This window comes from Homo sapiens, chromosome 8 (assembly GCF_000001405.40).
Source record: "Homo sapiens chromosome 8, GRCh38.p14 Primary Assembly".
Lineage (NCBI taxonomy): Eukaryota > Metazoa > Chordata > Mammalia > Primates > Hominidae > Homo > Homo sapiens.
This window is the reverse complement of record NC_000008.11, coordinates 104,358,160-104,372,953: the sequence shown is the minus strand read 5'-3', so window position 1 is coordinate 104,372,953 and position 14,794 is coordinate 104,358,160.

Below are 14,794 nucleotides of genomic sequence, written 5' to 3'. Positions count from 1 at the left end.
CTTATAAGGGGCTTTCTCCCCTTTTGCTCAGCACTTCTCCTTGCTGTCACCATGTGAAAAAGTACGTGATTGTTTCTCCCTCCACCACGATTGTTAAGTCTTTTGAGGCCTCCCCAGCCCTGCAGAACTGTGAATCAATTAAACCTCTTTCCTTTATAAATAACCCAGTCTCAGGTATGTCTTTATTAGCAGCATGAGAACAGACTAATACACTGACTTAAAAAGAGTGATTTCTGGCTGGGCACAGTGGCTCACGCCTGTAATTCCAGCACTTTGAGAGGCTGAGGCAGGTGAATCACTTGAGGCCAGGAGTTTGAGACCAGCCTGGCCAACATGGCAAAACCCCATCTCTACTAAAAATACAAAAATTAGCTGGATGTTGTGCTGAGAGCCTGTAATCCCAGCTACTTAGGAGGCTGAGGTGGGAGGATCACTTGAACCTGATTGTGGGGCAGAAGTTGCAGTGAGCCACGATCACACCACTGCACTCCAGCCTGGGCAGCAAAGCGAGACTCTGTCTCGAAAAAAAAAGAGTGATTTCTTACTTTAACCATTGAGGTGCACTGAAGCGCAATCTTGTTCCTCAGGTAATTTACGAAACCGCTTGAGAAATAGACCTTGCTGTTTTCTTTTCCAGTTTTCTCATGAGCCTATTAAACAATAAGACTTTCTGTCTCCCCAGATATATTATTTGAGTTAATTACTGGTGAATGAGATGTCAACAATCATTGGAATAAAACACTGCTGCAACAAACTCTTCTAAAGTTGTAAATGTTTTGGAACTTTGTTTTCACAAAAACCAAACTTGAACTGAAAGTGTTCATTTCTCAAAACTAGTATTATAATAGACAGAGAGAGAGAGTTTTTTGCTGGATGAAGTCTTCATTATATCCAAACATAGTTCAGACTTAAATTTTATTCAGATGAGAAATAAGAGCATGATAGAAATTTAGTGATAGGAAGGCCATTTAGTTTCATATCACAGATGAGGAAAGGGAGGCTCAGAAGATATATGACACTGAGCTCCCCTCCTCGCTCCCCTATTCACTGCTAGCCCTTGCCCTTAGACAACTAATATTTATTGAGTATATATTATGTGCCAAGTATTGGCACCAGTGATAAAATTGTGAATTAAAAAAAAAAAACAAAACAAAACATTGTTTCTGCTCTCCTGGGAAAAACAGACACTGATCACAAGCCAGCCTAAATATATAACTGTAGTGCTACAAAGAAGGGGATACGGTGAAACAAGAACTAGAAAGAAGATTTGGTGATTTGGGGAGTGGTCAGGGAGGGCTTCCCTGAGGAAGTGATGTAAGAGCTGAGACCTGATGAATGAGTAGGAGATAACCAGGCAAAGGAGGGAAGGAAAGTCTTCCTGCAGAAAGCCATGTGTGCAGCTGGGGCTGGGGAGGGTGAGGACCTAGAAGGGTAAGTAAGAAATGAAGGCTAAAGTATGGGAGAAAATGAAAGAGAAAGATGAGAGAGAGAGAGAGAGAGATTAACACTGAGAAAGAGAGAGACTGAGAAAGCCTGAGAAAGACAGAGATGATCCTAGAGGAACCAGGACAGTTTTTCTTCATCCTAAGAGCAATACGAAGCCTTTGAAGGGTCTTAGGCAGAGTTCTGATCTGATCAGAACAGCATTCCGTAAGGATCACTGGAGCTATAGCACAAAGGATGAATTGGAGAGGACCAGAATGGAGACCTACAGGCCAGAAAGGAGGCCGTTGCAGGTGTCTAAGCCAGAGATGGTGATAATTTGCACAAGGGTGGTGGTAGTGGTGGTGGTAGAGATGAAAAGTGGGACATTTTAGGAATATTTCATTGGTTAAATTGACCAAAAAAAACTGTAAAGTACTGGGTCAGCAAGAAAAGGGAACCAAAGATGACTCCTCTTTTTCTGGCTTTTGAAACTGGATAGATGTTACTGCCATTCCCAAAGAAAACAAGACCAGATTCGGGAGACAGATCAGAGGCTGGATTTTGGACACATTATATTTGAGATGCCTGTGAGATATCCAAGCAGAGAGATCAAATAAGGTGTTGAACACAGAGAGGAGAAAGCTGAGTCCAAGATTAAATTTGTGAGTCTTCTCCAAATAGAATACGCTTCCATTTCCTTTACCTATAAGCTGGAATCATCATAGTATCCACCTCAAGATTAAATAAGATAGTGTAAACAATTCACCCAGCACAGCAGCAGCACACAGAAGGTGCTCATAGAAATCAACTCTCATTATTTCTACGAGGCAGCTTATTTCCTGAAGTCACAGTTAGTAAGTCACCTGAAAATAGCAGCCCTATAGATAATCATAAGATTCAACACCTCAAGTGGGGAAAACTTTTAATTTATTAAGTAACGAGATATGAAAGCTAATTCTTCTTGACTGGAAACTGCAGTTTCTGAGCAGGGGCACCTAATTCTGCAGATGTGATTAATGTAAAAGTTCCCAGTTTACCAGGCCCTTAATATAATCCCATGAATTTTGCCACTGAATGTGCTCCAGTTTTGTAATCTAGAAATACAACACCGAGCAATGAAGTGAAGATGATGTGAGACGGCACTTCTTCCAATCTTTCTGAAATGAGGCAAGTACAAATAACTAAATACAATTTAAAATGTCAAGCAGTGTCAAGTTCTGGCACCGTGTCTCTTCCCTGAGATGCACCTGCACCTTTGAGTACTGTGCACATCATTCATTCAATTGCTCAGCAAATGTTTGCTGACTCTTTCATTCTTCCTGGTTATGTGCGAGGCTCCCAGAATGTAAATCACCCCTTTGTGCATGAGCAGGGCTTGACAGTCATAAAGTAACTTTATTCTATTTAACTTTCTCCTATGGTCCCTTCAAACTTATTCTGTGCATTCATTCTTTCCCCTCTCCCCTGCCCTCTCTCTTTCTCTCAGGTTAAATCTTGGCCAGATCCCACAGCTCTGATGATCATGCTTAGGTGGCAAGATAATATTCTGGCATTTAAAAATCAATTTCAGTCTAATGACCACAAAACAACAGTCCAATCTAGGATAATAATTGAAACTCTTGAACCTGTGAGTACCCCAGTTACGTCAGTTCAATCCTCTCACCAACCACCCCATTCGCTTCTCTCAACTCCACTACCTTCTCCCCACTCACCTGGTTGACCAGAAGTAAATGGTCAGAGATTGCTAACCCTCCAGCCAATCACACAGCCCCACCCTGTGTGATCTGGAGCAAGCCACTGAAACCCTGTGGCTCCATGTCATTACCTCTAAAATGCTGATATTTTGTCTACCTCACTGGATTCTCACGAGGCTTAAATGAAAGTATTCTGAACAGCATCTGACACTTGATAAGCCCCCAGTACCTGTTAACAATGACTATTCCTAGTGCCTTCCTCTCTTCTGCCTACAAGTATGCTTTGTAATAAATCAATGGCACTACCTTTTGTTCCCTGTTTCTATGCCTACTCCAAGCCCCAAAGCAATTCTTGACTGTGTCACAGTCTTTCCTCAGCTTCTATGGGACATGGTACATATTCTGAGGACCAGTGGCCACTGATATTCTGCAAGAGACTGGAGTTCTAATATCCCATAGCACTGTTACCGTCAGAGTCCTTGCCTTGAGAGAGCCTCTTAAAGGGTTGGGTTTGAGCAAACAAAGTCAACAGTTACACACTCCTGTAATTGCCCCTACCACATGCCAGTCTCTCCAGCTGGGCTATGAATTCAACCAGGCAGAGACTATGTCTTACTCATCATTGCATCCCAGTGCGTGAGGTGATGCCAGACAAAGAACAGGCACAGCAGTGGAAGTCAGTTGGGTGCTTCCTCAATCAGTGTAACAGAACTGCCATGTGACCCAGCAATTCCAGTCCTAGGGACATTCCCAAAAGAACTGAAAACAGGCATTGAAACAAAAATCCATACACGAATATTCATAGCAGATTATTCATAATAGCTAAAATGGGGAGACAACAAAAAATGTCTATCAACTGTCAGCTAGATAAACAAAATGTGGTATATCCATGCAGTGAAATATTATTCAGCTATTAAATAAGGAATGAAGTACTGATGCGTGCTACAACATGGAAGAGCCTTGGAAACATTACATTAAGTAAAAGAAGCCAGACACAAAAGGCCACATACATGAGTTCATTTACATGAAATATCCAAAACAGGCAAATATGTGGAGACAGAAAGCAGATTAGTGTTTCCAGGGGCCGCAGCAAGGGAGAAATGGGGAGTGACTGCTCAATGGGTACAGGATTTCTTTCGGGGGTGACAAATATTCTGAAATTAGAGAGTAGCGAAGGTTGTACAACACAGTGAATGTACTAAAAGCCACTGAAATGTACATTCTAAAACTACCGTGGTTACAATAGTAAATTTTATATGTATTTTACCACAATTTTTAAAAAACTAGAAAAAGGAAGTAGGCTTCACATAACCATTTTAAAATAAATTGGTGAATATAAGTGAGGCATTTGGGAGTTTAGGTGGTTGAAAAGTTTAAAGAAAAGTTGGAGAGAGGGGAGTTGAAAGGCAAATGTCTCCGAATGGCAGTAAAAGGTTTAAGGAGCCCACCTGCGATGCCCCTCAGTCTTCTTCCCAGAGGTAAAGAACCAAGTCCTTCCAGATGATCAGGGAGGGTCTGTGAAAAAGTCACATTAGAAATCAGCAGTCCTCTACTGTGAGAACCAGAACTGTATTAGGAAACCGCTTTGTTTCCCTAAGTTCTATAACTGAGCATTTCCCTGATCAAAGCAATTTCTTAATTCAAGGAGAACCTGTGGGTCACCTCTCTGCCTGGCAAGGCACCCTGCGTGCTCCATCCTTACTGCTTCTGAGGTCTTCTACTTCCATCCTCTGCCCACTCTCCAAGAATCAAACTCTGTGGGAAGCGACCTCCAAAAGGCGACGTTGCTTACGGTCATGAGATGTGACCACAGTGTCAGATCTGCCTTGACTGGGCTCCTGAGAACGGCGTCCAAGGGACTCTCTCTACGCCCGTCTCTGCTCCCTTTCTAAGCTGGGTGGCCTTGGGAAGTCACTCAAACTCTCTAAGCTTCCATTCCTTTAACTGGAGGTGGTAGCATTCACGGAGTCTTCCTCACAAGGTTATTGTGAGGCACAGATCGCTTTGAAAACTATCAAATGCCAGAAAGAGGTAAGAGAGTCCCATTTTTACAGCGTTTGGGAGTCCAACAAGCAGCGTTTAGCGGCTGGGAGGCCAGGGCCGAAGGACCTCTGCACTCCGGACCGCAGGTTCCTCGCTGGAAAACAGGAGCGTCGTCAGAAGTGTGTGGGCCAGGAGAGGATGAGACTGCAAGCAACGCGACCCGCGCAGAGCGGGACGGGGCGCCAGCTGGTAAATGACGGCGACTGCAGGGGCTCCAGTGCGCGCCATGAGTCAGCGCAGGCCCTGGGAAGGGGCTGCAGGAGCGCAAGCCTCTCCCACCCGGAGCGCGCTCCGGTCCTGTTCCTTACCCAGCGAGGTTCCGGCTTGGCCTGTCTCCGACTCATCTGTCCCAGCGGCGGCCCCGCGAGACCCCCGGAGGCGGCTCCCGGCCTCTCCCCTCCCCTAGGCGCTGCAGACGGGCCCCCTGGGAGTTGTTTACTCTCGCCGCCACCGCCTCCCCAAGTTCTGTTTCCTTTTCTTAAGTGGTTTACAATCCTCTGAGTCGCTTTACACTTTGGGGCCAATTTCACTGTAAATAATTCTCTTGTCTTGGGATTTCTTGTTGCAAGAAGGCTTGCTTTCTCCTTCCCAATAGAACAAGCACGCCCGCACCAATCAATATGTACCGCCCTGCACTGGTCTGCGGAGAGCGGGCGAAGCTTCCAGAACATTAAGGAGATGTGGACACAGCCCTCGGGGCGCTTATAATAAAAACGTGCCAGGGAGAGGCTTCTCGGAGTGCAGGAGGAGTGCTAGGCAGGCAGGGCTGGGATTTCAAGGGAGCTCCTGAGATAGGGAGAGCCTCCCAGGATTTTCTCGTTGTTTCGTTTGTAGGCAAAAAGGAAAAAATGGAGCATCCTGCATCTTAGCTGGAGGGCCTTAGACAATGTGGTTATGCCACTGGGTCTAACAGGAAATGGGAAAAAGCAGGCATGAGTTGGTGTTTCTGTTTATTTAAATTCTTTGGAGGATGCTGGCTTCATACCAAGCAGGAAGAAGTCTTAGAACAAGAGTGGAGCATAGTGTGGGCACAGACTCAGTGCCACAAAAGGCAGAGCCTCAAGTGCCACATGACACGTGACAGGGACAAGGCGCCAACTTAGAATGAGAAGACAGGTTTCATCACTTCTCAGCATGTGACCTGGACAAAGTCACTTAACTTCTCTGAACCTCACTTATTGATCAGTGAACTGGAGGTGATAATACCTGCCTTGCTTACTTTACTGCATTGTTAAAAGGACCATAAGAGAGGAAGTTGGTGAACAATAAAGTAATCCAACTACAGTGTGATCACAATATGAACATCTAGCTCAGTGTCCGTTGCTCTGGAAGGAAAGTTGGTTTGTAGTGAAAGATGCAGCATGAGCGAGATTGTAAAGGCAACAGGAGGTTTTAAAATAGATTGGTGAGATCACAGTAATAACAGAAGGCCACTGTTGAGGAGAGGGTGCTAAGGAATGAAGAAAATAATGAGGACCTGAACCGGAAGTTTATCCCTGGCGACTTAACAGGAGGAGGTGTTGCCGGGTCCCACGGGAGGAAGCTGGAGGTTATGTTCACTGATGTGCAGAGGAACGGGGTTAGGATAACAGCTTTGATGTGAGCATTTTCCATGAGTCACTATCCCATCCATATTGAAGGTCACATGCAAAAGCCAGAGCCAGGAGCAAGATGCCAAAGTCAAGGCTAGGACTGAGCATGAGAACCGATAGGGAAGACACACAGGGTTGGGAAGACCAAGATGGTGAAATGGACATTCCAGGCAAGTTCTGAGAAAGCCCAGCAGGAGGCGTCAGAGGAGGTCGGGGAGCACAGAGGAGGCTGATCGCAGGTGCTGCAACTGCCATGGGGATGAGGTGGAGCCCAAGAAAATCAGTTCTGAAGGACTGGAATCCTGGGCACAGTGGTCAGGGTGCCCCTCAGCCAGGAAGGAGACCTGGCAGGCCCCCTGGAACAGGACCAGAGCTTCAGGGCAAAAGGAGGCCCAATTCCCAGGAGTGAGCCAGTGGCTGTGTTTACGTCTTGCTCTTCCAGAGAGCAACCAGCGACAGCGAGCTACTGTGCCTCCTTAGTCCCTAGCCCTACACCTATGCCTGGCACACAAAAGGCATTCAGTCACTGTTCTTTGGAGTAAACCAACATATGAATGACAAATGAATATGGTCAGATTGAAAATGCCCAAGAAGCCCTGAATTGTATTCCCCTTTTTGGTGGCTTTGGAAGCCGTTGGCTTTCTTTCTGGTGGCAGACAGCTAATGGGCAGGCTGTCTTATTGTCCCTCCTGAGGACTCCTGGCCGTCTAGCATGTTCCTGGTCCCCCTCCCATCTCTGTATATGGTGTCCGCCCGCAGGATGGTCGTGTCTCACTTGGAGGCTCGTTTCCCTGGCAACTCACTTCTACATTATGCTGTTCTCAATTGGCCTCTAGTTCCCAGGCACTGCTGTACTTTATTCAAATTTCTAACCATGGCAATCCCCAGCCGTATTTACATCTAGTCTTGATACAGAATCTCTTAAATTAAGGGAACATTGTCTTCTCAGAAATTAACTTTGAAAATGCATTTAAACTCATTTTAAACTAGAAATATAAAATTTCTTCACAACTTCCTTGCCAAGAAACAATTCTTGTCAGCCATTTTCATTGACTCTTTTCAAAACTGTTTTCTTCTCACATATTGAAAGCCAGCCCTCAAAAGAGTCTCTAGGAGAAGCATTTGGTTCCAAAAATAATGTCTGGCTCTCAAACTTTCACCCACCTCAGTAGACCCTGTCCACTCCTGGTCACTGCCATCATCAGGCTGCTGGTAGTCTCACCGTCAAGACTGAAGAAGACCTGAACATCATCGCAAGCAAATATAGGAATAATAGTCACAGTGAACACTTAATTTTGTTTTACCTTGCCATTTCTATTAGACTGGTCTATTTGTGTTTTCCAAGGCCCTAACGTGGTTTGCACCCCTTTAATGAGTGAGGATGGATCTTGCTGAGCCATTCTCTATTCATATAGTGTATTTTTTTTTAACCATGGTCTCTTCTTCAACTGTAAACTTGTAAGACTTTGTTTTGTTTTTGTTTTTTGAGACAGGGTCTTGCTCTGTCTCCCAGCCTAGGGTGCAGGGGCACAATATCAGTTCAATGCAGCCTCAACCTGCAGGGCTCAAGTGATCTTCCCATCTGAGCCTCCTGAGTAGCTAGGACTACAGGCGTGTGCCACCACACCTGGCAAATTTTGTTACGTCTTGTTTTAGTTTTTGTAAAGATGAGGTTTCACTATGTCGCCCAGGTTGGTCTTGAACTCCTGAACTCAAGCAATCCTCTCGTCTTGGCCTCTGTAAGTGTTGGGATTGCAGGTGTGAGCCACCACCCCCAGGCTAAAACTTGTAAGACTTTTAAGAAATACTCTGGTGGGGCCCACTAATACTGGTTGAGGATCACCTCACCTTTTCTTTTCAAGGTGAATTTTCACCTCTTCTAGAACTGTCTGCCACACATACACTACTCACAGCCGGTGTGGATAGAGATTCCCTCGGTGCAGCAGCTGATCCTATTCCTCACCTAAGGTCCTTAACCATCATTCTCTGCCTTCCGATAAAACACCGTATTGATTCCCACGTTTGGTATCTCTCTATATATGGCTTCTGGTGGCTCAGTTCAATGTATTGCTGAGGTCTTCTGTTTAGGTCCTGAACATCACCTGGGCGCTCTCGGCCAGCGTGGGTTCCAGGTGGACGGGGGTTCCGCAAGCCCTGCTGTGCTTGATCAGGGGATGAGCTCCCTCTGGGCTGCTGGAGTGCCTGGGTTGGGTGCCACAAAATCCCGCCAGGAGTGCCACTGAGAGGTGAAGCTGCTGGGCTTCTGGGTCTGGTGGGGACTTGGAGAACTTTTCTGTCTAGCTAAAGGATTGTAAATGCACCAATCAGCACTCTGTGTCTAGCTAGAGGTTTGTAAACACACCAATCAGCACTCTGTCAAAACAGACCAATCAGCTCTCTGTAAAACAGACCAATCAGCTCTCTGTAAAATGGACCAATCGGCTCTCTATAAAATGGACCAATCAGTAGGATGTGGATTGGGGCCAAATAAGGGAATAAAAGCAGGCCACGCGAGTCTGCCGACGCAGCTCTCTTGCGTCTCCTTCTATTCTGCGGAAGTTTCGTTTTTTAGCTCGTTGCAATAAATCTTGCTGCTGCTAATTCGTTGGGTCTGTGCTGCCTTTATGAGCGGTAGCGCTCACCGCAAAGGTCTGCAGTTTCACTTCTGAAGTCAGTGAGACTATGAACCCACCAGAAGAAAGAAACTTAGCGAGACTATGAACCCACCAGAAGGAAGAAACTCCGGACACATCTGAACATCTGAAGGAAAAAACTGCGGACACAGCATCTTTAAGAACTGTAACAGTCACCGCGAGGGTCCGCGGCTTCTTTCTTGAAGTCAGCGAGACGAAGAACCCATCAATTCCGGACACACCAGTACCTATGAGTATAATCTTACTTGGAAATAAGAGTTTTTTGCAGATGTAATAAAATTAAAATGAGGTCATACTGGATGATGGACTGTAATCCAATAACTATTCTTGTAAGAAGCGAGAACATTGGACACAGAAAGAAGGCGGTCATGTGAAGACAGAAGCAGAAATTGGTTTATGCTGCCACAAACCAGGGAATGCTGGGGAGTGCGAACAACCACAGAAGGCAGAAAAGACAAGGGAAGATTTCTTCACTGGAGAATTTGGAGGGAGCATGATACTGCTGACACCTTGAATCGGCTTGAATACATTCACCAGCTGAAAAACTAGATAAGGGGGAGAGGTTTAAATTCTCCGGAATCTTCCTGCCTTCAAGGTTCAGCCCTGCGAAAGATAACTAGGAATTTGTATTTTGGGCGATAACACTTTCTCTACTTCTAAAAGACAGAAACTTTTTCCACTTTTGTGAGAAAAAAAAAAAGTACTAGGGAGGTTTTCTTTGCCTGGCATTTGGTAACATTGTTGTCCATAATGCGTTAGAGACTTATATTTGAGATAGTGTCTAAATACTTATAGCTCCTCATGGGGTATGAATGTTTGATTTCCTAATGAGGGACCACTTGAGAGCACCTCCCCTCATGCCCAGCTTGTGACTTAAAGATGACCATTGACCTACAAAGGCAGCAGGCAATTTGGGGATTGGCTGTGATAAGCAATGGGGATTGTAAATGTTGCATGTAAATTCTCTTCCAGGGAAAAGCTCTGAACCAAGTGCTTTTAAATTAGTTTTTGTTTCGTTTCTGGGCCAAAGCTGAGGGGCTATGGAGAAGCTGGAGTAGAGATGTAAGCAAATGTAGTGATTTGATAAGGAAATGACGGTGACAGCCAACATTGTGGGGTGGGGAGGAGGGTTAAGGGATGCTGCAGCAACAGAACTGGTTGGGAGTTACACAGCAAGAGAGTTACGAATAAAGCGAACTTCTAAGCTGAGAAAATCAGGAAAATATTCGGGTCACTCATTGTGGTGTGGAATTTGAGATCAGGAAGGGCAAGGAAGGGGAGATGAGGATGAAGCTCTGTCAGACTCACTGGCTAATAGAGCTTGATAGAGCTCTCAAGATCATTGCCTCTAATTGCCTCTTTTAAAGATGAGGAAACTGTGTCCCACAAAGGTGAAACTAACTCATTCAAAGTTCCATAGTTAGCAAAGGGCAGAGCGAAACCAGGACCCAGGACTTATCATCATCCCATACTCTTTGTAAATTAGAAATCAAGAACTGGAAAAAGTGGGAGGGTTTATCTAGATTTTGTAGAATTTCATGTTATAGCTGGTAACACACGACTTCCTCATAGGAGAGGGTGTGGGGCAGAGATCACAAACTGAAAGCTTATGGTTTGACCTCCACGCTGTTTTTTAAATTAACATTCTAATTTATTTGTAACATTTCAAGATTAGGCAAGTTTCTGTACCAATCTGGATTTTTGCATGCTCTGGGAAAAGCCAGTCGAGCTGTCAGAGATTTAGTAAGAGACGCCCTCCTTTCAAGAAGGGGCGTCGTCTAGTTTACCCTCATCCACCTTGTTGGCTTCATGTTATCTACCTGAACTCTCTAGTCCCTAGTTTGCAATCCCTGGGAGGGCAAAAGGAAAGCAGAAGCTCTGAGCCCAAGACTGACACTTGGGATTGTTAATGGCAGGGGGTGAAGTGAAGTGACCAAGGAGCCCAGAACAAGAAGAGCCTGAGCCCCGAGGTCACAGAAGCAAAAGGTCTTGTCCAGGAATTCAGGGACAGGGTTTTCATCTATTTTTAGATAAATTAGCAGGATGTGGGAACCAAAAAAGTGGTCAATTCTCCAATACCGCACAATGGTGATGACTTATGCAAAACATCCTCTTTCCTATTTTTAACTAGATCACAGAAGCTGCGTCAGAGGACTTTGCTGCTGACTAATCCTGTTGAGGCATCTTCCTCTGAATTGCATAAATGTCATCTACATAGGCTAAAGAACATTTGAGAAAAAGAAAAACTGTAAAGACTACTGCATACGGGGCATTCTTATAAATAGTGTTCTGAGTGGGATCGGGGTGTTCTGGGCCACAGCTTTCTGGAAGTTGTCTAGGATTTCATGGTTGAAGAATGCAGTCAGAGAAATCATTCATTTTGTAAGCTGAATTAATGATCCCGTGATTTTTTGCACTCTAAAGAACAGTGAGGACTGTTTAGAATTATGCTGATTTTTCAGGAAAACAATTTTCTAGTTGTATAGATATCCCTGCACAGCAATAGGCTTTTTATTGGAGAAGGGAATCAGGAATGACAACAGAGGTTTCTCAATGCTTTATAGATAACTTGTGGACAAGTTAGCCTCTTTGTGCCTCAGTTTTCACATCTACAAAACAGCAATAGCAGCAGATCGTCTCTCATGGGGTTTGGGTGAGGATTAAATGAAATAATTCACTAAAAACAGTGGCATCTAGTAAGGGCTTACTAATAACTATTATGATATTTTCTATGAATAACTGAATTGAGTCAGAGAGAAGTGCTTTGGCTAAGCTACTTGGTAGCAGTATCAGAATTAGAGACCAGTTCCTCCAATTTTTAATTCAGTATCCTTTCTTTCATCACATGTGTTTTTAAACAACTTATTATGTATTTTCTAGTACATATTAACATTTCCTCTTGCAAGACATAGCACACTTACTGTTACAGTACAAACATACTTCCACAATGGTTTCCTTTGGAAAAACAATTTTGATTGATTTCTTTTACTCCGTAATATATCACATTTAGAGTGAGAGTACTGCTCGCTTAGAAAAAAGCAAGACTTTCAATTTTCAGGTCTTCAGCCACTGACATGGCAATCTGACTTTAAGCCATATGAAATTACACATGACATTTAGAATTGAATAACCATACTGATTGCTTCTTTGTGTCTGTGGAGAAAATAACATTTATTTTGACCAAATGTTATCTTTTCTCTTTTTCATCAAATAAATCATACTTAGGAGTGGAGCACTTCTGTTTTTCTTTATGATTCATTGATCAACCGTGAAAGAACAAACACATCAAATGCTGAAACTTGGGTTACAGTCCATTGGTGATTCTCTCCAGGACACTGCGGTCTCCCAAAGAATCATAGGCTTAAAGAGATGGCAGAGATTTCAGAGATTCTTTAGCTAAACCCCTTGATCTTTATAGATGAGAAAATTGAGCTCAGAGAGGTGACATGACTTGCAAAGTCATCCAGCTAGTTGGTGGCAAAGAGGGATTTCAAACCTTCTTTTTTCTGACTTTCAGTCCCCATTGCATCATGTCCTGCACCAACTCATGTCCTGCACCAACTCATGTCCTGCACCAACTCATGTATTTCTAAAAAGCCTTTCTGTATTATCAGGTGTTGGCAAACAGCCACAGGCCATGTCCAGCTTGCCACTTGTTTGTGCAAATAAAGTTTTATTGGAACACAGCCATGTTCATTTGTCTACTTATTGTCTATGGTTGTTTTCTCGCTACAGTGGCAGAATTGAGTAGTTGCATCAGAGTCGCTCTAACGTCTGGCCCTTCACAGAAAAAGTTCGCCAACCCTTGTTGTATATCAAGCTTGACTGAAATTCTCTTTTTTTTTTTTTTTTTTTTTTTTTTTTACTCTTTTTGTATCAGACCCTATTGTCAAAAGTTGAAGAAAGTGCAGTTGGGTAGAGAATTATGGGAAAGAAGAAAGAGGAAGAAAAGAACTAACATTGCTAACATTTATTTATCTGAGACAGGATAATAGAGGCTTTATATATGTCATCTCATTAAGTTCTCAAAAAGATGCTGGAGACTGATATTTTCAGCCCCATTCTGTAAATAAGAAAACAGGCTCAGAGAGGTAAGAGTTAAGTTGCTAGGTTTATGCCACTAACAATTAGCAGAATGAGGATTTGAATCCAGCCTTCTCCATTTGAAGATTCTATAATTCTTTCAATTATATCATGTGGTTGTTGTAGTCAGGGTTACCTTTCATTTTCTTAAAAAAGTGCTATACTATCCTCCAAATTGAAATAGTTTAATTAAAAAATAATATTTGGTACGAAATAATATTTAAAAAGCAAGTAACTATAGGTTAACATTATATAATTCATGGTGTTGCCATGGGTTATGTTTTTGTTTGGGTGCTTGTTTATACAAGTAAGTGAGTTGGACTGCAGATGATGAGAACAATACATTTCTTGACAAGAAATTTGCATTTTGCATTATTGGAGAAACTTAATGGCTCAGCAACAGGTAGAATCAAAGTCCTGTATGTATGTTCACACAGATAATTACATAGATAACATGTAATGTGTTTTTATTTAATCAGCAATCCCCCCTCTCCAAGGCTTGCCACAATTCTCTAAACCAGTGGTTAACAAACAGACCTAATCATCTGCATCACCCATGAAGTTCCTTAGGGTGCAGATTTCCAGGACCTTCCCGCCACCTACCTAAGTCAGTATATCTGAGTTTAGGTTTGGGCGTCTGTAATTTTATTTTATTGTTTAACCTCTGGAGATGGTTCTGATGATCAGCCAGCTTTGGGAACCATTACCCTAGAGAACCAGTGAGCAGGCAAGGCCCTGCGTCTTTGTCTCAGTCTTTCCTGGTCCTCCTCTAAGTCCTCTAAACCTGTCCACCACCTGAGCCCTACGCTTTGGTCAGTGTGCGTGCTCTTCTCTGTCTTTGTCAAATGAGGCTGAGTGCAGGGGTAGGGGCACTTCCTTCATCACAATGTATTTTCTCAGCATCCAGGAAAGTGGTGCAAACACCTTCTGCCTTAATTGCAGTGAATGTGGCTTGTTATGCTTTTATCTCTGTCATTGCCTTTTTTGCTTTCTATTTGCATTTCACAGAGTGCTCCAATGACAAATTCAATTCTGATTTCTTCTGCTCCCTGAGTACAAAAGTAAAGTTCATGGACACTCAGAATTGAGATCATAAAAGGTCATACATTTTCCCCACTACCCAGTTACTCACCTCCTTTTCTTTCCTGCTTTTAACAATGTCACTGCAATCACGATGGATTGAAACCAAAAGGGGTTTTGAGCTGGGAAAACTTGGAAAAGCCTCAGCCACCTGTTAATTTAAAATTTTCCTCCCCTCTGTGTGGGGGTTATATTAGCCTAATATAATACAGGCTTTTAAATA